Below are 26,471 nucleotides of genomic sequence, written 5' to 3'. Positions count from 1 at the left end.
ATGAGTCTCCTGCCTCAGCCTCCCGAGTAGCTGGGATTACAGGCATGTGCCACCATGCCCGGCTAATTTTTATGTTTTTAGTAAAAATTGGGTTTCACCATATTGGTCAAGCTGGTCTCAAACTCCTGACCTCAAATGATCCACCCGCCTCGGCCTCCCAAATTGGGAGATATAATTTAAGAGCAAAGGATATTAAAAGTGTATTACAAGCCAGGCACAGCAGCCTGCGTCTGTAGTCGCAGCTGTTTGAGAGGCAGAGGCAGGAGAATTGCTTGAGCTCAAGAGTTCCAGACCAGCCTGAGCAACATAAGGAGACTCCGTCTCTAAAAAAAACCAGCAAGAAAAAACCCACAAAAGTATTATAGGATCAATCACCAAAGCTAGAAAAGCTTATTTTACTCTTGCTGGGCATTGAATATTGCTAGTTTGGAACTGTGAGATTCCTTTAATAGGAGCCATGTTGAATGGTGGCTTCTGAGAAAACTCCAAAGCTCACGACCCTGCAGGACTTCCTGTAACCCATTGCCTGGAGCTAAATTTGGAGCTCCTGTCATCATACTGGTGGGTGAGTGTTATAGATTGAAAAGAAAATTTAGGTCACAGTCTGAATTTAAAACGTAAGCATTTTGTTGAATTTCAAAAACATCTTAATTATGAAAATGATAAAACATTAGACTGAGCTTCTAAAGGGGGTTAATTTATTCATCCATTGAACAAATATTTATGGAGTACTGTGTGCCAGCCACTGCTGAGAGCTCATAGTATGCAGAAATATGAATAAGGTAGAATATCTGTCCCTAGAGACCTTTAAGAATAAACAATCCTCTGTCCTCCTTAGTTTCTTATACACAAAGAAGAATTAGGATCAGATTCTCTCTTAAGATACCATCCAGCTATATCATAATGTTTAACAATTAATAATTTTGTCATATGGTGATATGATCATATGATTAAGCCAGTGACTTGATGGCCTGAAGGGATTTTTTTAAATTACGCATGAGGAAAGTGTACTTCCTCCCGCTTCCCTCCCTGCTCCCCACAAATGGGATTCTGATATGTACCCCCTGGTTGAAAATCACTTTGGGGAGGAGCAGATCTGCTAGTGGAGTCTGTCATACCCTAGACCTCAAGCTCCAAAGTTCTGAAGTGTGAAGATCTATAACCAAGTAGAATAGGATGGGTTAACGTAATGCTCTGTGGATACCTACTCTCTCTTTTAGGTCGCTCATTTGTACATCCCTTGTAGAACTGTTTAGTTTGTGGTATATTATTTGCTGATTTGCTGTGCCTTTCAGGGACATTCATGTGGTTACTAGCAGGGTTACTGAAGCCCTATACCTCTGTCGAATATTATGTAGGCCAGCTCACTTAACCTTAAAAGTTCTCGTGTTCACATTGAAATAGAAAAACAGTTCTCTTTAATAGTTCTTTAGGTTAAGCCCAGATATCATATTCCTCAACTTTCATGTCTGGTTTTGGTCAGGATAAGCCTTGTAAGTCTAATAGACTGTGTTATGACAAGCAAGGGCAATGGCAGAGTCCCCGTGTTTTTTTGCCCATATGACTTTTCATCCAAAATGAGTTAGAACTGATTCTAAAATGCAACCTCAATACTTTAAACTCACTTTTGGGATTAATCGAAAACATTGACAGTATCAGTTTAATTTAACTGTTCTGAAGATTCTTCACCATCATCAGAATAGCGTCTGATCTTAGAATATGCATATCACAGCTTGTGCTTGAACTCACATGCCAAGCGTTAATTGCTAATAGAGAGGTTCAAACTACATTCAGTAAATGATTACCAAGTGCCTCCTCAGCATGATACAAAGAAGAATAAGACTTTTTCCAAGAGAGGACATAAATAATTAAAATAGGTTGGAAGTGCTTACTAAAGTATGTGAACAGCAGAGGGAAGGACTGACTTTCTGGGGGATGCTCTAAGGTGACAGCATATGACACTGGCTTCTTCCAGAGTGGATAAGCTAATGACAAAGTAGGAGGAAATTTTGATAAGATAGGCAGTTCTACTTGAGATTTTTAAAATTTTAATAATAAAACATCAAATGACTTGGTTAAAAAAACAGCCGGGTGCGGTGGTTCATGCCTATAATTCCAGCACTTTGGGAGGCCAAGGCAGGCCGATCACCTGAGATCAGGAGTTCAAGACCAGCCTTACCAACATGGTGAAACCCCGTCTCTACTAAAAACAAAAACTAGCCAGGCGTGGTGGCGAGCACCTGTAATCCCAGCTACTTGGGAGGCTGAGGCAGGAGAATTGCTTGAACTGGGGAGGAGGAGGTTGCAGTGAGCCAAGATCGTGACATTGGACTCCAGCCCGGGCAACAGAGAAAGATTCCGCTCAAAAGAAAAAAAAAAGACACACTAGTAACAATCACATTTTGATTATTGTTAAGGAAACAAATACCCACATTCTCTGCCCCTCACTCCTTTTCCCCTCGCATATACTCACAGCATGCAATCTGTTTTGTATACACAGCACTCTACTTGTTTCAGCACTTACCATGTTGTACAGAAATGGGTTTTCATTATCCCTTCCTCCCCGCAACAGACAGGTGTCTTTGAGTTCCTCAAAGGCACACACCAAGTCTTACTCATGTGACAGTTCCATAGCACTTAGCACAGTACTCTCAGCACATGGTAGGCACTTAGTAAATGTCTGTTGAATATTTAATACAGAGGGAAGGTTCTTTTCTTTTTTATTCCCTTTGAGCAGCATGGATAAAAAGCCTATAATTCAGCTTTCACTATTGGGTTTATTTTTGGAAGACTTCAGATTTTGGTCTGCACTTTTCTACCATCTGGAACAACCAGTGTATGATTGTGTTTGTTTGTTTGTTTGTTTGTTTTTTGAGATGGAGTCTCACTCTGTCCCCCAGGCTGGAGTGCAGTGGTGCAATCTCAGATCACTGCAACCTCCACCTCCCAGGTTCAAGCAATTCTCCTGCCTCAGCCTCCCAAGTAGCTGGGATTACAGGTGCCCATCAGCATGCCTGGCTAATTTTTTTGTATTTTTAGTAGAGACAGAGTTTCACCATGTTGGCCAGGCTGGTTTCGAACTCCAGACCTCAAGTGATCCGCCCACCACGGCCTCCCAAAGTGCTAGGGTTACAGGCATGAGCCACTGCACCCGGCCATGATTTGTTTTTAAGTAAATATGTAGTCAGGAAAAAGGAGATGTATGAGAAAAGAAAAATAGAAAATTAGGGGGCAAGACAGAAAAATTAATATACAATAGATGTAGTGTCTGAAAAATAATGGTAAGTGAAGGCGGTGTATGACCATGTTAAAAGGATGAGCTTTGGAATCAGCAGATCTTTGGGTGAGATTTACAACTGCCTTTGGTGTCACTTCATCCCTTTGTGCATCCCCTTTAAAATGGGGAGATTGCTGCCTACCTTTCTTAACATAAGGCACATAAAGCCCATAGTGACATGAGTCATGCAGAGTATGTGCACAATCATGGCTGTTGTTACATTCCTCATACTAGAAATAATTACCACCCTAAAGGAAGATGCTAGCTATTGTTTTTGTTTGGAACTTTTAAAAGTTTTTTTTTTTAATACTTTTTTCTTGTTTTAGTACCTAGACCTTTTCTGGAAAAAGTATTTTTTAAAGACTAAGAAAGAGAAGCAAAGAGTGAAAACAAGGAAAGGCCTGATCTACTTATGGAAAGTTTATCCTTTAAGCCATACCCTGTATTTTCAATTTCCTGGCCTTATGCTACACTCCTTTCCTTGTTGCAATTTAGAGCTCTGTTCTCTTGGGTAGGAGGAATTTGCTTTGGGCATTTTTCTTGGGGCTTTAAAATGTTAACACTGTGCAGGTCTTAAAAACTACAACAAGAAGATTTTAAAACAATCCTTTGGGGATTTAGGGGACCCTAGAGATGAGCAATTGAGGCCATGTTGCCATCAAGCAGCTTACAGAGGAGGGATTACTACTTGTGTTGAGGTATACCCATGAAACTCACTGGGCTTTTTGGATTTGCCTTGATCCTAATTAATAACAACTGCTCCTGAAGCTGAACTTTTCCAGCTCTTGTCGTTAGATAGTTAAACCTCAACTGTAAGAAGCAGTAATAAAATCAGAAGCTTCACTAAGATGAGCAAATAACTCAAGTGGAAAATTATTTTCATTTATGAACTTTAAAAAAATAATAAGTGAGTAAAACAGGCAGAGAAGTCTCTTAATAGATGCCAATTCCTACCCTGTAACTTATACAGTTATTTCTAGTTACCATGGCGGGTTTTTCTTCTCTAAAGATAATAGTCGTTTGATGTTCAGTACTAGTTATCCTCAATTTGTATCATTAGGAATAATTTTTTTTACCACATGGCTTCTTTATGATACGTAGCTAGCATGACTTCAGGGACCTTTCTTTTCTTGAATTATGTAAAATTCTGTGGGCCCATTGCTTGGGCTTCTGTTATTTTCTTTTTCTTTTTTCTTTGAGACAGGGTCTCACTCTGTCATCCAAGCTGGAGTGCAGTGGTGTGATCATGGCTCACCGCAGCCTTGACCTCGCCAGGCTCAAGCAATCCTCCCACCTCAGCCTCCCAAGAACTGAGACTGTAGGCATATGCTACCACACCTGGCTAATTCTTGTATTTTTTGTAGAGATGGGGTTTCACCATGTTGCCCAGGTTGGTCTCGAACTCCTGAGCTCAAGCAATCCACCCACCTCAGCCTCCCAAAGTGCTGGGATTACAGGCCTGAACCACACACCCAGCTGGCCTCTGTTATTTTCATAAACTGTACTTTTGCCTACATTCCTATAGGAAGCTAATTTTCCATCCGACCATTAGATACTGTGAATTTGTAGCTTGGTCATGTGGTTTGGTCCATGGAATTGTGTGTGGAAAAAATAACCAGTACAGCGTGGAGCAGTGCACACAATGAAGAGTACCGCCTGCTGTGTGTAGTCAGAGCCAAATATATTAGTAAAGTTGACATAATGACTAGTGCACACTTAACTGCTGACATTTGGTTTACTTTAGAGGTTATGGAAATAGTGACTGGTTATATTATCAAAATCTCTTTTTGTCCAAGTTGTCGTTAATATTTCCTACACTGCAAAATTTCAGCACTTTGTTAATGAAAGGAAAATATTTTTGCTTATTCTAACCCAGCAGAATCTGAAAAGGAGATTTTAAAACCCAAACATTTGGTAATACAGACATAGACGACCTATTTTAGGAAGACTATTTCTATTTTTTTAATTTTTAATTTTTTTTTTTTTTTTTGAGACAGAATGTTGCTCTCTCACCCAGGCTGGAGTGCAGTGGTACAATCTCAGCTCACTGCAACCTCTGACCCTGGGTTCAAGAGATTCTCATGCCTGCCGAATAGCTGGGATTACAGGCATGTGCCAACATGCCGGCTAATTTTTGTATATTTAGTAGAGACGAGGTTTCACCATGCTGGCCAGGCTGGTCTTGAACTCCTGCCCTTGAGTGATCCACCCGCCTTGGCCTCCCAAAGTGCTGGCATTACAGGTGTGAGCCACCACGCCCGGCCTGAAGACTGCTTCTTAAGAAGTACATTTCTATTTCTAATTTTAAAATTTAGCATTTTCAAGAGAGCAAAGGGGGTAAAATAGTCCTGCACATCAGGAAATATGATATAGAAAAATATAGCAAGAGAGGCTTAAGTTAAACAGAGAAATTGTTTCCCCAAATTAAAGTGCTTAGAAGAGGTAAGCACATTTAAGAAAATAATAAGCCACCTGTTATCCTGATTCAGTTGAACCTACCATTTGTGAGAACAAGGGGGAGCACTGTGTTGAAGTGAAAAGACAAACAGAATGAACATTCGTTGTATCCTCTGAATATTGTCATTATACTCCGGGACCAGAAGGAAGCTTCTTGAAAACGTAACAGGTTTTTGTCGTTTAGGCTGGGACTTGGAATTAGAGCAGTGAAGTTCTGTTCCAAGTTGGCCATGCCAGGTATTGTTATCTTGGACAAAGTACTACACCTCTCTGACACCAGCTTTTATACTCAGGTTATTTTGAGGATCAAATGAGACAATGGTATCTGGTACTTGGAAAAACCTTCTTATCAAGTACTCTTTAAGATATTCAGGGCTACCACTTTATCATGTAATTTTCTTTTTTTAATAGCATAATTGAGTTATTTGCTGTTTAGCAAATACTTAGATTTCATTTTTGAGGGAAACCTTGTTCATTTTGCCCAGTGGCAATAACTTCTTTTATAACAGCACATAAAAAACTGGTTGCAAAATGGAATAGATTAGCATGCAGTATGAAGCTCTCCTGGGCTTCTCGCTTGGTGAGTTGACTCCCACTGATGGTGCTCCCAGTGGCAAGGGGCCAGTGGTGTTACTTTCTGAAAATTAAAGGGCCCAGATAATTTTGTAAGCCCAGAAAATGAAGTATTTCTTTCCAGAAGTTGTAAGTTATAAAAGCCCTTTGATAAGCCTGATGTGCTTTAAATATTCATGATTTTTGTCCTGTAATTTCTAGAGAATTAAATACCTTTAATTTAAAAGCTCTTTTGACATCATTACCTTCCTCATGCTAAAATACAATTTGTAATGAGAATTTTTTTTTTTTGCATTATGCAGATATTTTGAAAAACAGTTTGAACTGTCAGAACAAACAAAATTACCAATGTTTCTTCATTGTCGAAACTCACATGCTGAATTTTTGGGTGAGTTAAAACCAAAGTCTCATTCAGAACTTAAGAATTTTGTAGAAATCAAGCTATTTGCTAAAAGTTCTTTGTTTTTAATTCACAGACATAATGAAAAGAAATAGAGATCGGTGTGTAGGGGGAGTGGTAAGTATAAAATAGTCATTTTTAATACAGGTTGAACATCTCTAATCCAAAAATCCAAAATACTCCCAAGTACAAAATGCTCCAAAATCTGAACCTTTTTAAGCACTGGCATGAGATAATGACACCTTTGCTTTCTGATTATTCATTGTACACAAATTTTGTTTCACGCACAAAATTATTTAAAATATTTACCTTCAGGGTGTGGTATAAGGTGTATGTGAAACATAAATGAATTTCATGTTTAGACTTGAGTCCCTTCCCAAAGATTTCTTTTTATGTATATGCAGATATTCCAAAATCTGAAAAAATCTGAAATATGAAACACTTTTGGTCCCACACACTTGGGATAAGGGATACTTAACATTTATGTGACACACAAAGCATCTTGGTTATTAAGGATGGCCCCTAATTCAGATGTCAACATTTAAATTTTTTTTAAAAAGGAATAACAAAGAAAAACATAGGAATTAGATAGAATTCAATAGAATTAGGAGCTTCTTTTCCCATCCTTTGAAAGACATGTAAATTTACTGTTGAATTTATGGACCAGGTGTGGCATAAACACAAATCAGTTTTAATTACAGTTCCTTTGTTCAAAGTACAAGAATGCGTACAGAATTCCATTCACAAGAAAACCCTGTGAAATTTTTTTTGTTTTTTGTGTGTGTTTTTTGTTTTTTTTTTTTTTTGGTTATTAAGAAAGGGTCTGGCTCTGTCATCCAGGCTGAAGTGCAGTGGCACAATCTCAGCTCACTGCAACCTCTGCTTCCCCGGGATCAAGCCATCCTCAGCCTCCCAAGTAGCTGGGACTACAGGCATGTGCCACCATGGCCAGCTAATTTTTTTGTATATTTTGTAGAGATGAAGTTTTACTATGTTGCCTAGGCTGATCTCGAACTCCTAAACTCAAGCAATCTGCCCACCCTGGCTTCCCAAAGTGTTGGGATTACAGGTGTGAGCCACTGTGCCTGGCCCTTGAATTCTACACATCCTAATGCTGTGCATGATATTCTTCGTCTCTTCTGTCAGCTGTTCTTTAATGTTCTTCCATCCAAATTTTGAGCAAATATAAACTAATTTTTATGTTTTGAAATATTTTACCATTTGTTTTAGGTTTGCCTTTCTCATTTCTTGTCCGCTGTATTCACCTACTATTCTGATCTAGAGAGTCATTCTCCTTTCTGTAATTTGCATTCTGCACTAAACACTTCTCTGATATAGCCATTTTAGTCATTATTCTGGAGACATTTCCCATAAATACTATCTGCTAACCACATACCTCCGATATCTATGGCAGTGATTTTTTTTTTTTTGAGATGGAGTCTCGCTCTGTCACCAGGCTGGAGTGGAGTGGCACAATCTCAGCTCACTGCAACCTCCGTCACCTGGGTTCAAGCAATTCTCCTGCCTCAGCCTCCCAAGTACCTGGGACTACAGGTGCACACCACCACGTCCAGCTAATTTTTGTATTTTTAGTAGAGACGGGGTTTCACCATGTTGGCCAGGATGGTCTCGATCTCTTGACCTCATGATCCTCCCCCCATCAGCCTCCCAAAGTGCTAGGATTACAGGCATGAGCCACCTTGCCCAGCCATGATTTTTAGTCTCTTCGATCATGGACTCCTTTGGAAACCTGCCTTAGAAAAATGCTCAGATATACATATATTCATATGCAATTTCAGGAGAGTGACTCAGTGAGTGACTGTGTCTAGCAAAAGAACTGTAATCCAGGTAGATTAAATCACAGTTACACTATGCCTGCTAAGGAAAGAGGAAATAGCACCAAGCACTTGCATTCCCATGCGGCCTGACGTTGACAGTTTTATGCGTATTCTCTAAGTTCAACCTCTGCCTCATCTATACTACTAGTAATATGTATGCATCCTGCATTGCTGTAATGTTAATATTACTGTGCACTTTTTTCCTGTTTGTACTAACTCTGTAATTTTTTCCTGTTTTTACTTACTCTGTAATTTATCCTGTAGGAACTGTACTTAAGAATTGAGAGGGGTTTTAGTTTTAACTAATGCCGTTGGGATTATTAGTGGTATTTATCCTAACCTTCAGACTCTACCTCTCAGCCCATTTGCTTTATTTCTTTTCTTTTTTTCTTTTTCTTTTTTTTTTTTTTTTTTTTTTGAGACAGAGCCTTGCTCTGTCACCCAGGCTGGAGTGCAATAGCACGATCTTGGCTCACCACAACTTCTGTCTTCCAAGTTCAAGCAATTCTTTTGCCTCAGCCTCCCGAGTAGCTGGGGCTACAGGCACGCACCACCACGCCTGGCTAATTTTTGTATTTTCAGTAGAGACAGGGTTTCATCATGTTGGCCAGGTGGGTCTTGAACTCCTGACCTCAAGCGATCCACCTGCCTCGGCCTCCCAAAGTGCTGGGATTACAGATGGGAGCCACTGTGCCCAGCCTATTTCTAAATAAGAATTTACTTGGGTTCTATTAATAGTTTTTAAAATTAACAAAAGCAACAACAAATCCAACCTAAATGTTTGACTTTTACCAAAAAAGAAATTGCCAAATAATTAATAACTAGTTTTCTGAAATGGTTTATGAGGAGTCACTTTTAAAATGATTTCGATATTAATGGAGGGCATCTTTTCTAGTCAGCTGGAAATGGTGAAGGAAAGAATAATGCAGGCAGCTGTGTAATGCAGGCTTCTTTATTGTTGAGAAATATGTTATCCATAGTGTATTCAGGCTCTCTGGACTCAGTAGTAATGTGATGTCACTTGTTTAGGTGAACCTACTTTTTAAAGGAGGGCTGTTGTTATATGTTGTTTTTGATTATATAAATACATCCAAACTATGAAAACTATGTCTTGACCCCTATATCTTTGAAGGAGAGAAATAGCATCTCAATCCCTTCTGCTTGCTAAGCTGATATTATTGATTATATAATGGTTTATGCTTTTTTTTTTTTTTTTGAGACAGTTTCGCTGATCTCCTGACCTTGTGATCTGCCTACCTCGGCCTCCCAAATTGCTGAGATTACAGTTTATGCTTTTTAAGCAACAGTCTCACCCATTTATAAGAATTTCTTCAGCCTTGTCTCTTTTTTTGTTTTGTTTTTGTTTTTGAGACAGAGTTTTACTCTTGTTGCCCAGGCTGGAGTGTAATGATGTGATCTCAGCTCAACGCAACCTCCGCCTTCCAGGTTCAAGCAATTCTCCTGCCTCAGCCTCCCGAGTAGTTGGGATTACAAGCATGCGCCACCATGCCCAGCTAATTTTGTGTTTTTAGTAGAGATGGGTTTTCTCCACATTGGTCAGGCTGGTCTCGAACTCCCAACCTCAGGTGATCCACCAGCCTCAGCCTCCCAAAGTGCTGGGGTTACAGGCGTGAGCCATTGCGCCTGGCCCAGCCTTGCCTCTTAAAAGTAATTTCTCTTCCACAAAAAAGTATCCTCGGCCAGGCGCGGTGGCTCACCTCTGTAATCCCAGCATTTTGGGAGGCCGAGGCGGGCGAATCACCTGAGGTCGGGAGTTCAAGACCAGCCTGACCAACATGGAGAAACCCCATCTCTACTAAAAAAAAAAAAAATACAAAATTAGCCAGGCGTGGTGGCGCATGCTTGTAATCCCAGCTACTCAGGAGGCTGAGGCAGGAGAATCTCTTGAAGCAGGGAGGTGGAGGTTGCAGTGAGCCAAGATCGCGCCATTGCACCCCAGCCTGGGCAACAAGAGCAAAACTCCATCTCAAAAAAAAAAAAAAAAGTATCCTCTAACAGAAAATTCATCAGTATTTTAAAAATTCTTTTAAATAGTGCCATAAAATTACTAAGCTTTCCTCATGTTTTTGCCTAAGAATATATCTATTCCTAAACCCCTTCCTGGAGCTTCTGCACTAATGCTAGTGCAGAGACAGCAACACTGCCACTCTAAAGAGAGAAATTCTCGGCAGCTAACGTTTTGCATCATGTCACTGGAGATGATGACAGGTTGTAATTGTGAAAAATAATATGAAAATAAAAATTATAGCGACTACCACCTTTGAAACCCTGAGGTCCAAAAACTTACAGGGATCTATATTTTTGCCTACAAAGTCTTATTAATGTCACTTAGAATTTTAAAGAGTAATTATTATAATAATAAACTTATACCTGTATGTCCCCAGGTGCATTCATTTGATGGTACCAAGGAAGCAGCAGCTGCTTTGATTGACTTGGATCTTTATATAGGATTTAATGGTTGGTACGTTCTTAGGTTGCTTTGGTTTTTAACTTTTATTTAAGCAGATTTCTTAAATTGTCTTACAGTGAATTGCTGATGAAGATTTATTTTCATTAAAGTTTGTGTGTGTTTGCATTGATCTTTGCTGGGAATTTCAGTAATTATTTATTAAGAAATTAAACAGTACATTACTATTAAAAGTTAAAGCTCGAAAGTTATAGACTACTACATTATGTTCTAATAATGGAAAACAATTTTGTGTTGAGATCTGCAGCTGGCTTTCTCTGGTAATCCAATTTATTCTCAGGTCATTTGATCCCTTGAAAACATGTGTTCACAGCATTATGTATACATATACACGTCATATCTGACTATGGACGAACGGTTTATTCTGTGACAGTCATACATCTCTGCAGTCAAAGAAACCGAGGCTCAAAGAAATTAGGAAACAGGTATAGAGTTTCTCCAAGTATGAGAACCCATGTCCTCTGGCTTCTCACTCTGTGATCTTTCTGCTGTTGTACCACACTAAACTTCACACACTCAGTACAGTCAGCTAGCACAGCTAGGTCTCTGGGTTGGTTTTGTCACATATGTAAGAGCTTCTACCAGTGACTTTTCACAGGATGTCAGTGTAGCCTATTAAATCAGTTGCAAAATAGTATAGGAGTTTCTGTCCTTCTTCATTGTCTCATACCCTTAAAATTATTATGTTTCCAATTGCATTATTTTTGACTAAAATCTAGGGAAATAGAATCATGGAATTATGTATTTGCTCTAGAGTTCAGAGTTTAAATGTCTAAGATGCTTTCATATTTAAATTAATGGTTTAATTAACTTTAAAATTAATTAATATGCAAGGGAATATATGCATAGAGATTAAAAAGTCAAGTAGTACTAACAGATATGAACAAATATCAGAGTCCCCCCAGCATGACCTTACCCCAAGTCAGCTTTTGTAGCAGCAATAATTTTGCTATTTGTCACCATATTTCTAAATAATATCCATATACTATTGTCTCTTGATTCATCCCCTTTGTCTATTCTCATTGGGGTATATGAGCACATTAGTTCTTATATCCCGTACTAATCCCCTACCTCCATTCTCTGCATATCACTCTCAATGTCGTTATTTCAGAATTTTTGGTTATATGCATACTCAATGTTTTCATTATTATGTCTATATAAATGTTGTTTCCTTATTATGCCTATATAAATATATAATTTCACAGTGCTATGCCAAGTATGAGAGGGTTTCAAGTTTTTTGTTTTTTGGTTTCTTTTTAAAGATAGGGACTTGCTTGCTCTGTAGCCCAAGCTGGAATGCAGTGGCGTGATCACAACTCTGCAGCCTTGACCTCCCAGGCTCAAGCAACCCTCCCACCTCAGCCTCCTGAGTAGCTGGTATTACTGGTGCATGCCACCACACCTGGCTATTTTTTAAATTTTTAGTTGAGACAGGGTCTTGCTATGTGCCCAGGCTGGGCTTCAAGTTTAAGAAAGCCAAGTAAATAAAAATATGAGGGAGGTTAATCCAGGAAAACAAAAAGTAGTACAAGAAAAGAAATGTTAAGCACAGTATACCACATGAGCAAACCTATGTAGATAATCTAATAGTTCCGTCAGTTGCAGACCCTTCCATGTGTTTCAATTTGGACTAGTTCCTATTTTTAGATCCCATGTATTCCTTGCGTGTTTGTTTTAGTGGAACACATTCTATAACATCCTCTGAGGATGTTTTCATGGGAATTAAGTTTCTTTTAAATACAAGCCAGTATTTCTATTTAATAAGGTTTCCCATTTAGTGATGAGCAACTACACGATTCTGAAGTCAAGTTTGAAATACATCTTCCCATTTTGAAAATGAATTTTTTTTCTGCTCTTCCTCTTACAAGTTAGCCTGGATAGTTAATGAAAGGGGAGAGAACCCCACTTTTTTTTTTTTTTTTTTGAGAGGGACTCTCACTCAGTCGCCCAGGCTGGAGTGCAGTGGCGCGATCTTGGCTCACTGCAGGCTCCGCCTCCCGGGTTCACGCCATTCTCCTGCCTCAGCTTCCCGAGTAGCTGGGATTACAGGTGCCCGCCACTACACCTGGCTATTTTTTTTGTTTTTGTATTTTTAGTAGAGACAGGGATTCACTGTGTTAGCCGGGATGGTCTCGACCTCCTGACCTCGTGATCTGCCCGTCTCGGCCTCCCAAAGTGCTGGGATTACAGGTGTGAGCCACCACACCCAGCCCCCCACTTTCAATGGATAGTTCTCTTGAATAAAATTCAAGATCAGAAATCATTTTCATTGAGAATTTATACTGTCCCATCAGTAGGTTCCAGTGTTGATGAAAAGTTGCTACTCTGATTCCTAATCCTTTACCTGTGACCTAGTTTTCTTCTCTTGTGAAAGGTTTTAGTTTTTCATCTCTGATGTGAAATTTCACGAAGGTGTGTGTTGATGGTTTTCATCACGCCTGGTGTTGCTTTTTCATTAGCCCTTCCAGTGGGGGGCACATCTTTACCCGTCCTTGGAATTTGATTTTTCTCTTCTGTTCTTTTCTTGGGCATACTAGACTGATAACTCGTATTCTTTTTATTCTATTTCCATTGTTTCCCTCCTTCCAAAAAAAGTGCTATATTTTGTAACCCTTTTTATGAAATTTACTTCAACTTTTGTTTTCAATTTCTGAATACTCTATTTTTATACTGCAGTGTCTTCTCATCTCTCTAAAGACATGAATTATAGTTTAAAGTTACTTTCTGCTTGTCTTCCTGCATTTGTTTCCTCACAGTCACCTTTTCTTCTTTCCTTTGGTCTCTGTGATGATGGAAACTTTCTTCAAATGTCAGGCAGTCCTTCACTGTCTATTTAAAAAAAGAAAAAAAAAAGCCATTTGGAAGCTCTCTAGAAGGCATTCCAGCAACTGGCAGGCTCAGATGGCCAACTGACTTTTTGCTAGGGATTCCCAAATGTCAGTTTGTAGAGATCTTTTTCTGGGTTGGTTCAGTTTCTCCAGAAAGGGATCCTGTGTTCTCTGCTGGAAAAGTGGGGAACAGTGGAGGGAAGGGGTTTGTAAATGTCCCTGACAGTATTTTGGAGCAGGATGGGTTAGAGGATCTCACTGTTTAGTGGGCTGCCCCAGTCTCCATGCTCAGGCCTGTGCCTGACGCCTGTACTCCTCTGTGCTTGTTGTTCTCCAGCTGTTTCTGATGTGGATTGTCTTGAGACCCAGCACCTCTTTCTCTGCACCAAGTCACAGATACATAACCTAGGAACCCCATCTTCTCTTGGAGTTTTCTCAAAGAATCTCCATTTCAGTCCCTGCCTTACTCCACTTTCTAGGGACTGTATCTACTTCTAGGTTTGTTTGTCTTTCTTTCCAGGCACATAGCATTTAAGTTACTTGGCACTTAAACACTGGTCTTTTATCATTTCTCTGTCCACTTTCAGCTATATGTTGTGATTTGGGGTAACATATGTCTCCTAGTTTCATTTAAAAAAATCCTGGTTTTCTCCCTGTAAGTTTGGTTTTGTTTTTTTTTTTTTAAGAGAAGGGGGTAGAAGATCTTTATTTTACCAACTTAAAACCATAATTCTTAGTTGTTGTTTTTTTTTTTTGAGACAGGGTCTCACTCTGCCTCTCAGGCTGGACGACTTACTGTAGCCCCGACCTCCTGGGCTCAGGCGATCCTCCCAAGTATAATAGCTGAGACCACAAGCTCCTATCACCATGCTTGGCTAATGTCTGTACTTTTTGTAGAGATGGGGTTTCACCATGTTGCCCAGGCTGGTCTCAAACTTCTGAGCTCAAGCTATCCACCTGCCTCTGCCTCCCAGAGTGCTTGGATTACAGGCATGAGCCACCGTACCTGGCTCCTGTCTTAGATATTTCTAAATGATCTTGAGTTCATTAGGATGTTAGTTTAAGCTAATCACAAAAGATTCTTTTCTCCTACATTAATATTAGCTTCAGAATTAATAGGTTAGTCATTTATTAAAGTGGATGTTTATATTCTTATTTTCAAATCTAATTCATTATCATCTTAATCTGAGTCTCTGAGGAATGATAACTTAATCCACTTATAGTAGCATATTACATAAAGTCTTTGGTTCCTAAAAGTTAAATTAGAATTTTTCCCCCAAGAAAATGGGAAGATGGCCAGGCATTGTGGCTCACGCCTGTAATCCCAGCACTTTGGGAGGCTAAGGTGGGTGGTTCACAAGGTCAGGAGTTCAAGACCAGCCTGGCCAATATGGTGAAACCCCATCTCTACTAAAAATACAAAAATTAGCTGGGCATGGTGGTGGGCACCTGTAGTCCCAGCTACTCGGGAGGCTGAGGCAGGAGAATCGTTTGAACCCAGGAGGCGGAGGTTTCAGTGAGCCGAAATCATGCCACTGCACTCCAGCCTGGGCAACAGACCAGACTGTGTCTCAAAAAAAAAAAGAACATGGGGGCCGGGCGCAGTGACTCACACCTGTAATCCCAGCACTTTGGGAGGCTGAGGTGGGCGGATCACAATGTCAAGAGATCGAGACCATCCTGGCTGACAAAGTGAAACCCTGTCTCTACTAAAAATACAAAAAAATTAGCCGGGTGTGGTGGCGGGCGCCTGTAGTCCCAGCTACTCGGGAGGCTGAGGCAGGAGAATGGCGTGAACCCGGGAGGCGGAGCTTGCAGAGAGCCGAGATCACCCACTGAACTCCAGCCTGGGCGACAGAGTGAGACTCCATCTCAAAAAAAAAGAAAATGGGAAGATGTATTTCAAACTTGACTTCAGAATCGTGTAGTTGCTCATCACTAAATGGGAAGCCTTATTAAATAGAAATACTGGCTTGTATTTAAAATGTTTATTAGTATATATATTTGGGCAAATTTTACAGTCATAGAATAGACACAGAAGAATATTAAGTTAATCAGACATGATTTAGTGAGATCAAAAATACAAATAATCTGAAAATTTAGTGAAAAGTTCTAAATATACTATCCATACCAAGCACATCAATATATTTTAGAAAATAACTGTATTGACCAAGCTGGCTGAAAATAAGAATTTTGTTTTTCTAGAGAGCACTAATTGCTACTTAATGTCAAACTAATGACATCTCACCCACCCCTCCTAAAATCCTACTAAAATAAAATTATAGATACTGAAAAAGGAAAGAATCTGTAATAGCAAAGAAAAAGGGCCAGAGTTTTGCTAAGAAATGTTCTGTAGTTGGGTGAGCTCAGGAGTTCAAGTGATGGTCCTGCCACAGCATCCTCAGTAGCTAGAGCTATAGGCGTAACCAGTCTGGGCAACATAATGAGACCCCCATCTCTTAAATTAAAAAAAAAAAAAAAAAAAGAGGCCAGGCGCAGTGGCTCATGCCTGTAATCCTAGCACTTCAGGAGGCTGAGGCAGGCAGATGACGAGGTCAGGAGTTCGAGACCAGTCTGGCCAACATAGTGAAGCCCTGTCTCTACTAAAAATAAAAAAAATTAGCTGGGTGTGGTGGTGTGCGCCTGTAATCTCAGCTACTTGGGAGGCTGAGGCAGGAGAATTGTGTGAACCCGGGAGGCAGAGGATGCAGTGAGCCGAGATTGCACCATTGCACTCCAGCCCAGGTGATAGTGAGAGACTCCGTCTGTTCTGTAGATTTCTGAAGACAGGTGAAACTGAAAGAGAAAGCTTAGATTATACCACTAAGGGGCCTCAGAAGAGATGGGAGCAAGTCTAGCAAAATCCAATAGGGGGGCTTTGGGCCTAGAATTAGTGTGAAATCGGACTAGAAATGATGATTAATTGAGGGCCTATATAGAGAAAAGATCTCACTCCCATATCCACTCCTGTGCATAGAGGACAAAAGCAGTAAACATTTACACAGGGGCCGGGGGTGGGGGTTTTCTTAAGAAAATTGAAAAAACTGTATGGTGAGGACTAGGGCTTGGAGTGCTTACATCAATCCCCAAAGAAAAGCATTTAGAGAACCATGAGCCTAACAATTAGCTCCCTATACTCTTACCTTTAAATGAAGTTTCATAATATACCCACTCCCACAAGAAGGTCCCACTAAGAATCCCCACTAGGAGAAGAGAACTGGCAGTAAAACAGGCCTGCTTTCACAAAAGCAAAGGAAACGCAACACTAGCAACCTCCCAAAATATAAATGGATATCCAAGGACCACCAGACGAATGAGGTGAACCAGAAGCATGAAAGAAAAAAGGCCAAGATAAATAGAAAAACTAACCCCAGTGCGACCCAACATAGTGGGATTTGAGATGTTACAGACATGAAATATGAACAGAATGCTAAAAGAACATAAAAGAATAAGAGCTCCTTAAAGATTATAAATAAATGGTGATGTTAAAGTAATAGCACCATTGGACGAAGCTAGGGAATCAACACTTGACAGAAAGATACATATTTTTTTTATACAAACTACATATATTTGAGCAATCAAGTAGTAGACATAGAGAATTTTCTTTTTATGGAAGTACTCTAATAAGTAAAGGGCTGATAGAATTATATCAGCATTTTCTAGCTCCTGGTGAATTATGCATTGGGCATCCATGGCTGCCTTAGATCACAAAAATACCACCAGATATATGCCTGTGGATGAAAGATCACACCACCACCTGTGAAATAGTCTTCCCCACAAAAAATCCAACCCAAATCCTATCCAGCCTGTAGATGGTACTCGAGATCTTCTATAAGAAATAAAGAGAGCAGGCTGGTCACGGTGGATTGTGCCTGTAATCCCAGCACTTTGGGAGGCCAAGGCAGGTGGATCGCCTGAGGTAAGAAGTTCGAGACCAGCCTGGCCAACATGGTGAAACCCCCCTCTCTACTAAAAATACAAAAATGAGCCGGGCGTGGTGGCAGGCACCTGTAGTCCCAGCTACTTGGGAGGCTGAGGCAGGAGAATCGCTTGAACCTGGGAGGTGGATGTTGCAGCTCGCCGGGATTTTGCCAACGCACTCCAGCCTGGGCAACAGAGTGAGACTCCATCTCAAAAAAAAAAAAAAAGAAGAAGAAAGAAGGAAATACAGAGGGCAGAGGAACCTGTTAAACTGCAACGCAGATGAAATCAGCAAAATCAAGACTAGGGCACTCCACAGCGTGAACAGCTTGGTTTCTTCAACAGATAAATTTGAAGGGGGAAAAGATGCAGGAGATTTTAATAAGTTGAGACTTCAGAAGACAATGACCAATTGCAATGTGTGGGCCTCTCATTTGTGTCCTAATTTAATCAAACTTAGAATGTATGCCACTGAGACAACTGGAAATTTGAATACTAGAAGATTTGGGTTTTTCTTAAACAAGAATCCTTATGCTCAGAGATACATGTTGAAACATCCTGAATTAAATGCTGAAATAAATATTAAAACTGTCCATCTGGAATTTCCTTTTAAGATAATACAGGAGAGGAATAGGGGTAAGTGGATGGAACTGGATTGGCCATGTGTTGATTGATGGGGCTGGGTGATAACTATATGAGAGGTCCATATTACCTAATTTAATGTGTATCTTAAATTCTTTGTAATAACAAATGCTGAAATTAAAAATGCTACATAAGGAAGCAACCAAGATGTTCCTCAGTAGGTGAATGGATAAACTGTGGTATGTCCAGTGGAATATTATTCAGTGCCAAAAGAAATGAACTATCAAGCATGAAAAACATGGGATTTTAATGTGTATTTGCAAGTGAAAGAAGGCAGCCTGAAAAAGACTACATACTGTGTAATTCAAACTATGTGACAGTCTGGAAAAGGCAAAACTATGGAGACTGTCAAAAGATAAGGGGTTAGAGGGAAGGAGGGATGAATAGGCGGACCATAGATTTTTAAGACCGTGAAACTATTCAGTATGATACCACAATGGTAGATACGTGTCATTGCATATTTGTCCAGACCCACAGAACACATGAAACCAAGTGAACCCTGATGTAAACTGTGGGTTTTGGGTGACAGTTTTGTGTCAAGGTAGGTTCATCAATGATAAACGTACCTACCACTATGGTGTAGAATTTTGAGAGTGGGAGCATATGGTTGGGGAATCTCTGTACTTTTTATTGCTGTAAACCTAAAACTGCTCTAAAAAGTAATTTAAAATAAATTTGTGATTAGAGAAATTGTGTTTTTAAAGTAATATAAGAACAGTATTAGTTGTCATCACATTATATGCTACACCATCCCAAACCTCACTGCCACATTACAGGAAGCATTTATGTTTGCATTCATGGATCTTTGAGTCAGCTGGGTTTTGGCTGATAGAGGCTGCCACAGGCAGCCATAGCAAGTCTTGAGGCCAACGCCAGATTCAAGGAATAGAGTTCATCCTACAAAGAAACCATGGCAAGGGTGCAGATACATAATTCTGCTAAAGTAGAGTGAAGAATCTGTCTTGGGCTAAAAATGGAAAATTCAGGAAATGAACGTTTACAGCCTTAGAAGCACCTCTAAGTTACGCAAATTACTCAGAAGCAGATGAATTCTTTTAAAAAGTTAAATTTTACTTAGACTGATATAGAACGCTATTGGAAACCAACTAATAAGCATGGAAAATTGCATCCCCGGAAGGCAGATTGGGTTAAAATAGATGTTAATCTGGATTGTTGAAGTATGGAGGTGTGCAAATACTTTCCAAAGTATACTGAAAACAAAGTGTTATAGGGTTTTGGGTTGGTTTTGTAGCATTTTAGACAAGTTGTGATACGAAAAAAGGTATTCGTTAATTGCTGCCTTTTAAAATAAATATACACTTTTTTTTAAGCTCACTGAAAACTGAAGCTAATTTGGAAGTTTTGAAGTCAATTCCTAGTGAAAAATTAATGATTGAGACAGGTAAGTTTGTTTTCAGAACTTTGTTTCATATTAAACCATACCAAACAAAAAGGAAAGCTGGAGAAAGAAATTTGACTTCAAACTTTAAGTGAACAAGTATTTTAAAACAGCATGCTCAACCTCAACAATTATGTTTTCCAGAAGATCTTTGGGGGTTATTAATGGAAAAACATATGCAAATGATTTTTTTCAATTTAGAAGTTTGCTATGTCTAAGCACTTAGAAAATGAGATGCCAGAATATAACTCAGGAGGTTGTAGTTACGAGTACTTAGCTAAACAAGGGGTCTTGACTAAGCACATCACACTTCCAAGTTTCAAAATCTGTTCAGAATTTTGTTTACACAGTGTCTTTATAATGGCTTAATTCTACAGCACTTTGTACAGTGCAACAATTTATATTGGTTTAGTATAAGAATTTTAGAATCCGTTGCCTCTTAAAACAAGGTGAGGCCGGGCGCGGTGGCTCACGCCTGTATTCCCAGCACTTTGGGAGGCCGAGGTGGGCGGATCACCTGAGGTCAGAAGTTCAAGACCAACCTGACCAACATGGAGAAACCACATCTCTACTAAAAATACAAAGTTATCTGGGCATGGTGGCACATGCCTGTAATCCTAGCTACTTAGGAGGCTGTGGCAGGAGAATTGCTTGAACCCAGGAGGCAGAGGTTGCTGTGAGCCAAGATCACGCCATTGCACTCCAGCCTGGGCAACAAGGGCGAAACTCAGTCTCAAAAAAAAAAAAAAAATACAAAAAATTAGCTGGGTGTGGTGGTGGCACTTGCCTGTAGTCCCAGCTACTCAGGAGCCTGAGGCACGAGAATTGTTTGAACCCGGGAGGCAGAGGTTGCAGTGAGCCGAGATTGTGCTACTGTACTCCAGCCTTGGAGACAGAGTGAGACTCCGTCTCAAAAAAATAATAAGGTGAAAAGCTAAAACTTTTATCTAAACCCTGTCAAGGCTCTCCTTATACCATGGACTTTAGGAAAGTCAAGACTGAGCCATTCTGGAGAAATCACATTCATTTCCTTGGGCAGTCAGGAAAACAAAATATTTGATTAAAAGTACGATGTTTGCAAAATGTGTAATTCTTTATTAAAAAATATTCAAAACCAGTTTCACATTCAGTAGAGATAGAAATTTGTTTAACTTATGCAAACCTCACTACATGCATAGCGAAAAAGATTTTGAAAACTGAAAAAAAAACTGTTTAACTTAAATGTTTTCATGTTGTTATACAATTGTATTTAAGGTTTAGGTCTTTTTTTTAAAGCATGCTGCACACCAACAATGTTAGCAGAAAAAAGGAATAGAAGTGAGTCTTAGAAGGTATTTAAGATGCAATTCAAGATTTTATCTTGTGCTTTTCTTAGAACTGTTTTCTGTTGAAATAACTGTGCCATTTTGGAAGCTGAATCACGGTTTATCATTTAGAGGTTATATATTAGATAATGGTCATAAAAAATTTTTAAAAATGTAAACCCCTTACGAGACACTTTCTTTGCTTAACTAGATGCACCTTGGTGTGGAGTCAAAAGTACACATGCTGGATCAAAATATATAAGAACTGCATTTCCTACCAAAAAGAAGTGGGAAAGTGGGCACTGCTTAAAAGACAGAAATGAACCCTGCCATATAATGTGAGTATTTTGCTTTCATGGTCTTCAAAATCATTAGTTAACCACCAGATGCCACTTATAAAATTAACGCAAGGGACAGAATTAAAATTTTGCAAAATCCAAGTGAAGTTCAGGTTCAAGACCACCATATTAATGCAGTGATTTGGAGGAATTTGCATACCTGGTTTAAGTTCCATTCTCACTGCAGCTTCCTGCTACTCTTTGGTAACAAGAAAGCCTTAGCAGAATATTTTGGATTTAAATGATTTGACAGCCTCTATAAATCTAAGAAATAACACATTTCTTTAAGCCTCAGAACAAAAGGATAAGTGATCTTAAGGACAAACCCCTTTTTTCCTACCCCCTTTTTCCAATCAAAGGGGGTGGGACTTTAGCACGTTTTATTTCCTAAAAAAGCAGCAGATCAGAATCATCTTTTAAATGGTGATATATATATAGCACAAGTGAAAAGAGGGGCTATTACCCATCTGTCAAAGAGCTGTAAAGGTAACAAACAGGAGAAGGTGGTTATATCATTTTAATGGGTACATAATCCAATTTCTTTTGTTTGCACAAACAGATAATTTAAATTAATCTAGATTATATCAGTCTTATATGATTTACCAATTCAGACAATTGGGCATACTTATAACACATTCACAAAAACTAATTGGTACTGTGTCTTCATGAGGGGTAAAAAAGAAAACAAAATAGGTTGTTGCTTTTAAGACTATTCATTGCATATGCACCATCTTTTTTTTCAGTAGTTTTTAACAGGAAAAGAGTATTAGAAGATAAGCCAGATAAGAACAGTGAAGAATTATTCTATAAAAATATGTTTGAAAGGTTCTTTTCCTTTATTAACATGCTTGAGCTGACAAAGTCTTTAAAACTGAAGCAGCCAGGCATGGTGGCCTGCGCCTGTATTCCAGCTACTTGGGAAGACTGCTTGAGCTCAGGAGTTCAAGATCAGCTCAGGCAACATAGGGAGACCCCTGTCTCTAAAGAAATAAAGAAAATTTTAAAAAATAAAGAAATGTAAGTACTTGCAAATTCAGTGATGAGACAGTATTTCTAAATCTTTTTTTTTTTTTTTTTTTTTGAGACCATCTTGCTCTGTTGCCCAGGCTGGAGTGCAGTGGAGTGATCTTGGCTCACTGCAATCTCCGCCTCCTGGGTTCAAGCAATTCTCCTGCCTCAGCCTCCCAAGTAGCTGGAACTATAGGCACATGCCACCACACTCAGTTAATTTTTGTATTTTTAGTAGAGATGGGGTTTTGCCATGTTGGCCAGGCTGGTCTCAAACTCCTGACCTCAGCCTCCCAAAGTGCTAGGATTACAGGCGTGAGCTACCACACCCAGCCAATTTTTTGGGGAACTAAAAGGACACTAGAGAAAAGAAACTGGTATTTTGACAGCAGCCAGCTTACAGGAAGTAGTTGCCAACAGTGTATCCAAGTAAGTTTTTTATATTTCCTTAATCTTATGTAAGATTATAGCTGTTGACTTTAGCTATATATTTGCAAGACAAAATTTCAAGGTGTTTTTAAATGTAGACTGTTTAAGAACTATAAAGGCTGGCCAGGCATGGTGGCTCACATCTGTAATCCCAGCACTTTGGGAGGCCAAGGCAGGCGGATCACCTGAGGTCAGGTGCTCGAGACCAGCCTGGCCAACATGGTGAAATCCTGTCTCTACTAAAAATACAAAAATTAGCCAGGCGTCATGGCGGATGCCCGTAATGCCAGCTACTCAGGAGGCTGAGGCAGGAGAATCGCTTGAACCTGGGAGGCGGAGGTTGCAGTGAGCAGAGACCACACCATTGCACTCTAGCCTGGAAGACAAAAGTGAAAATACATCTCAAAAAAAAAAAAAAAAGAACTGTGAAGGCTTCATCAATACTTGTTCTTCAGTTAGTTGCAGAGCTTAGGAAAATCTAGCATCTGCAAGCTGAAAAGATTTAAACCACATTTAAAAAATACACAATCCTCTAATCTACTGCTAATTATGAGTTGGCAAGTTAATTGCTACTTGCAAAGTCATTTTCTCAACCTCCATTCTGTTAACAGTTTTACATTCTAATTATTTTTATAGAGGTCTTTTAGATATACATTGTTTGCAACAGATGTTTTGGAGCCCCTGCCATGTCAGGAAAGGTACAAGTTACTAAGGCTACACAGGAAGAACCAAGACAGTCCCTGTCTTTATCCATCCACCAGATGAATAGGTACACTGTGCCTGGCACTTTAGATAAGGCATTCAGTGAGTCAGGCGAGGACCCCTGCCCTCCTGGAGCACATAAGCAGACAGAGTCCAAGATAGTAGTGCTGTTATACAAGTAGGAATCTATGACCAGGACCATAGGGCACATCAACTGTCTGCTTTGAGGGGAAACAGGAGAGAGTTATACCAAGGTGACATTTCAGTTGTTTACCCATGACTGGGAGTTAGGCCAGAGAAAGACAAACAAACACCTTAAGCAAAGGCAGACTGCAGAAGGGCCTGGCTAATCCAGAGGAACAAGTGTGGCAGAAAGTAGGATGCACAGTGTAAGCAGAAGTCAAGTCTGGGAAGGTAGAGTGAGCCCAGATTGTGAGGGCTCTTATATGCCAGCATTTTGCTTAGATTTTATCACTACCCAAAGGATTTTAAGCAGGAGAGTGGCAATTATTTTTTTTAAAGCTATAACTTGTATCAGTATGGGGAAGGGCTGGAAAGGAGATAGGGTAGGAATCATGTAGATCTTGCAAGACTTTAAAAACCTTTGCCTGGCTGGGCACAGTGGCTCACACCTGTAATCCTACCATTTTGGGAGGCCGAGGCAGGCAGATCAGTTGAGGTCAGGAGTTCAAAACCAGCCTGGCCAACGTGGAGAAACCCTGTCTCTACTAAAAATACAAAAAAATAGCCGGGCATGGTGGTGGGCGCCTGTAATCCCAGCTACTTGGGAGGCTGAGGCAGGAGAATCACTTGAATCTGAGAGGCAGAGGTTGTAGTGAGCCAAGATCACACCACTGTGTGATCACACACAGTGAGCCAAGATCACACCACTGCACTCCAGCTTGGGCCACAGTGTAAGACTCTCTCAAAAAAAAAAAACAAAAACCTGTGCTTACTGTAAAAGTGCCACATTAAACAAAAGCCACTAAATTCTCAGGGACATTAAACAACTTTATATTCATTTTGGAATAACTGCAGCTTTGACCACTGAAGATGTATGGAAATAGCATGGCTTGGCTACAGAAGGGTTATTCGAAGAAAGATTTCCATAAACTGCATTATCAAACAGTAAAATAGGATGTCCTAAGCTCCAATAGATTTTTTTTTCTTTTTTCTTTTTTTTGGAGAGAGAGTCTCGCTCTGTTGCCCAGGCTGGAGCGCAGTGGCACAATCTCAGCTCACTGCAACCTCCACCTCCCAGGTTCAAGCAATTCTCCTGCCTCAGCCTCCCGAGTAGCTGGGACTACAGGCGTCCACCACCATGCCTGGCTAATTTTTTTTGTTTTACTAGAAATAGGGTTTCACCATATTGCCCACACTGGTCTCGAACTCTTGAGTTCAATCTGCCTGCCTCAGCCTCCCAAAGTGCTGTGATTACAGGCATGAGCCACTGGGCCCAGCCCAATAGATTTCTTATAAGCGATTTCAATAAAATGAATTTGCTATGCAATATAATCTTAGCAAAGCTGCTGTGACCTTCAAAACTGTGTCATCAGCAGCATTAATCAAGAGTTCCAATTCTGAGAAGTGCATACAGAGGGACATTCAGTAGTTTCCTAAGAAAAATGGATTTTCACTGTCTTAATTTAAATGTTAATAGATTTGCTTTTAGTGTATCTTGACTGTCAGATAAAATTTTAGTGTAGTGTTTGCTTAGTATAAACATCAAGCAAGGCTTTTGTGTCACATTACAAAACAATTTTTTAAATTCCCATTAATCTTAGATCTCCATCCTTAATTCCTTTAGGTGTTAACATTTAAGATACTAAGGGAACAAAAAGCTTAGGCAAAGAATATTTAAATGTTCAATTTGGACTTTGGAACTTTCTAATTCATGTATTAAAAATCTTCCACTTATATATAATAAGTATGGAGACACTACGGATCATCATTACTGTAAGCACAGAAACTGAAAGATGCGGCCAGGCGCGGTGGCTCACACCTGTAATCCCAGCACTTTGGGAGGCCCAGGTGGGGTGGATCACAAGGTCAGGAGTTCAAGACCACGGCCAGCCAACATAGTGAAACCCCGTCTCTACTAAAAATACAAAAATTAGCTGGGTGTGATGGCAGGTGCCTGTAATCCCAGCTACTCAGGAGGCTGAGGCAGGAGAATCACTTGAACCCAGGCGGCAGAGGTTGCAGTGAGCCGAGATCGTGCCACTGCACTCCAGCCTGAGCAACAGAGTAAGACGCCGTCTCAAAAAAGAAAGAAAAAAGAAAAAAAAAAGAAAGGAAAGAAAAAGAAAGGAAAGGAAGGGAGGGAAGGGAAGGAAGAGAGAGACAGAGAAAGAAAGAAACTGAAGGATGGACACCTGGGCTTATTTCTCTCGCAAGGGTAGAGGTACAGAAAGCCCTCGCCCTCAATAACCACACATTTTTCCAAGTAAATATTACTTTTGCAGCAACCTAATACCTTCATTTGCTGTCTCTCAAGGACTAGTTCTCTAGCAGTAGATTTCCAACTGTGGCTGCTGTCCCACAGTACAAATTACGTTGTGACTTAGGACACACATACATAATAAAACCTAACAAAAAATGGAACAGTACTTACCCTTATTGAGTACAATGTACTTGTCAATGTTTAAAATGCTCATCATGACCCACTAATGAACATGCTATGACTCACAATTGAAAAGGACTCTTCATTTCCACTCAGTTAATGCTATAATTGGTGAACATAATACAGATGGCTGCTTTAATAATTTACTTGAACCTGGTTCTTAGCTCTAGTTATATGCAAGACAGTCCATAAATCTGTTTCCAGTTACTGGCAGTAAGTTTTTCTATTGATATTGCTGAAAAAC

At 39.8% G+C, this 26,471-nt stretch overlaps 1 protein-coding gene and 1 non-coding gene across 19 annotated transcripts in view; both read left to right on the top strand.

Moving 5' to 3' along the window:
• Window positions 1-26,471, top strand: part of TATDN1 (TatD DNase domain containing 1) — a 50,595-nt gene that overhangs the window by 23,791 nt on the left and 333 nt on the right. For 8 of the 18 annotated variants that reach the window (NM_001146160.1, NM_001317891.1, XM_024447293.2 and 5 more), the window contains 5 exons: window positions 6,610-6,695; window positions 6,784-6,824; window positions 10,951-11,027; window positions 19,756-19,826; window positions 21,339-21,465. In NM_001146160.1, coding sequence (NP_001139632.1) covers window positions 6,610-6,695; window positions 6,784-6,824; window positions 10,951-11,027; window positions 19,756-19,826; window positions 21,339-21,465 — 402 coding nt within the window. The other 10 variants (XM_011517331.4, NM_001317889.1, XM_006716666.5 and 7 more) reach the window with 4 other exon arrangements.
• Window positions 6,722-6,783, top strand: MIR6844 (microRNA 6844). The gene has a single exon (NR_106903.1). It is a non-coding gene; the product is annotated as a microRNA 6844 (primary transcript).

The sequence above is a fragment of the Homo sapiens genome, chromosome 8 (assembly GCF_000001405.40).
Source record: "Homo sapiens chromosome 8, GRCh38.p14 Primary Assembly".
NCBI classification, from domain to species: Eukaryota; Metazoa; Chordata; class Mammalia; order Primates; family Hominidae; genus Homo; species Homo sapiens.
The sequence above is the reverse complement of the archived record's forward strand: the minus strand, read 5'-3'. Positions and strand labels throughout refer to the sequence as shown.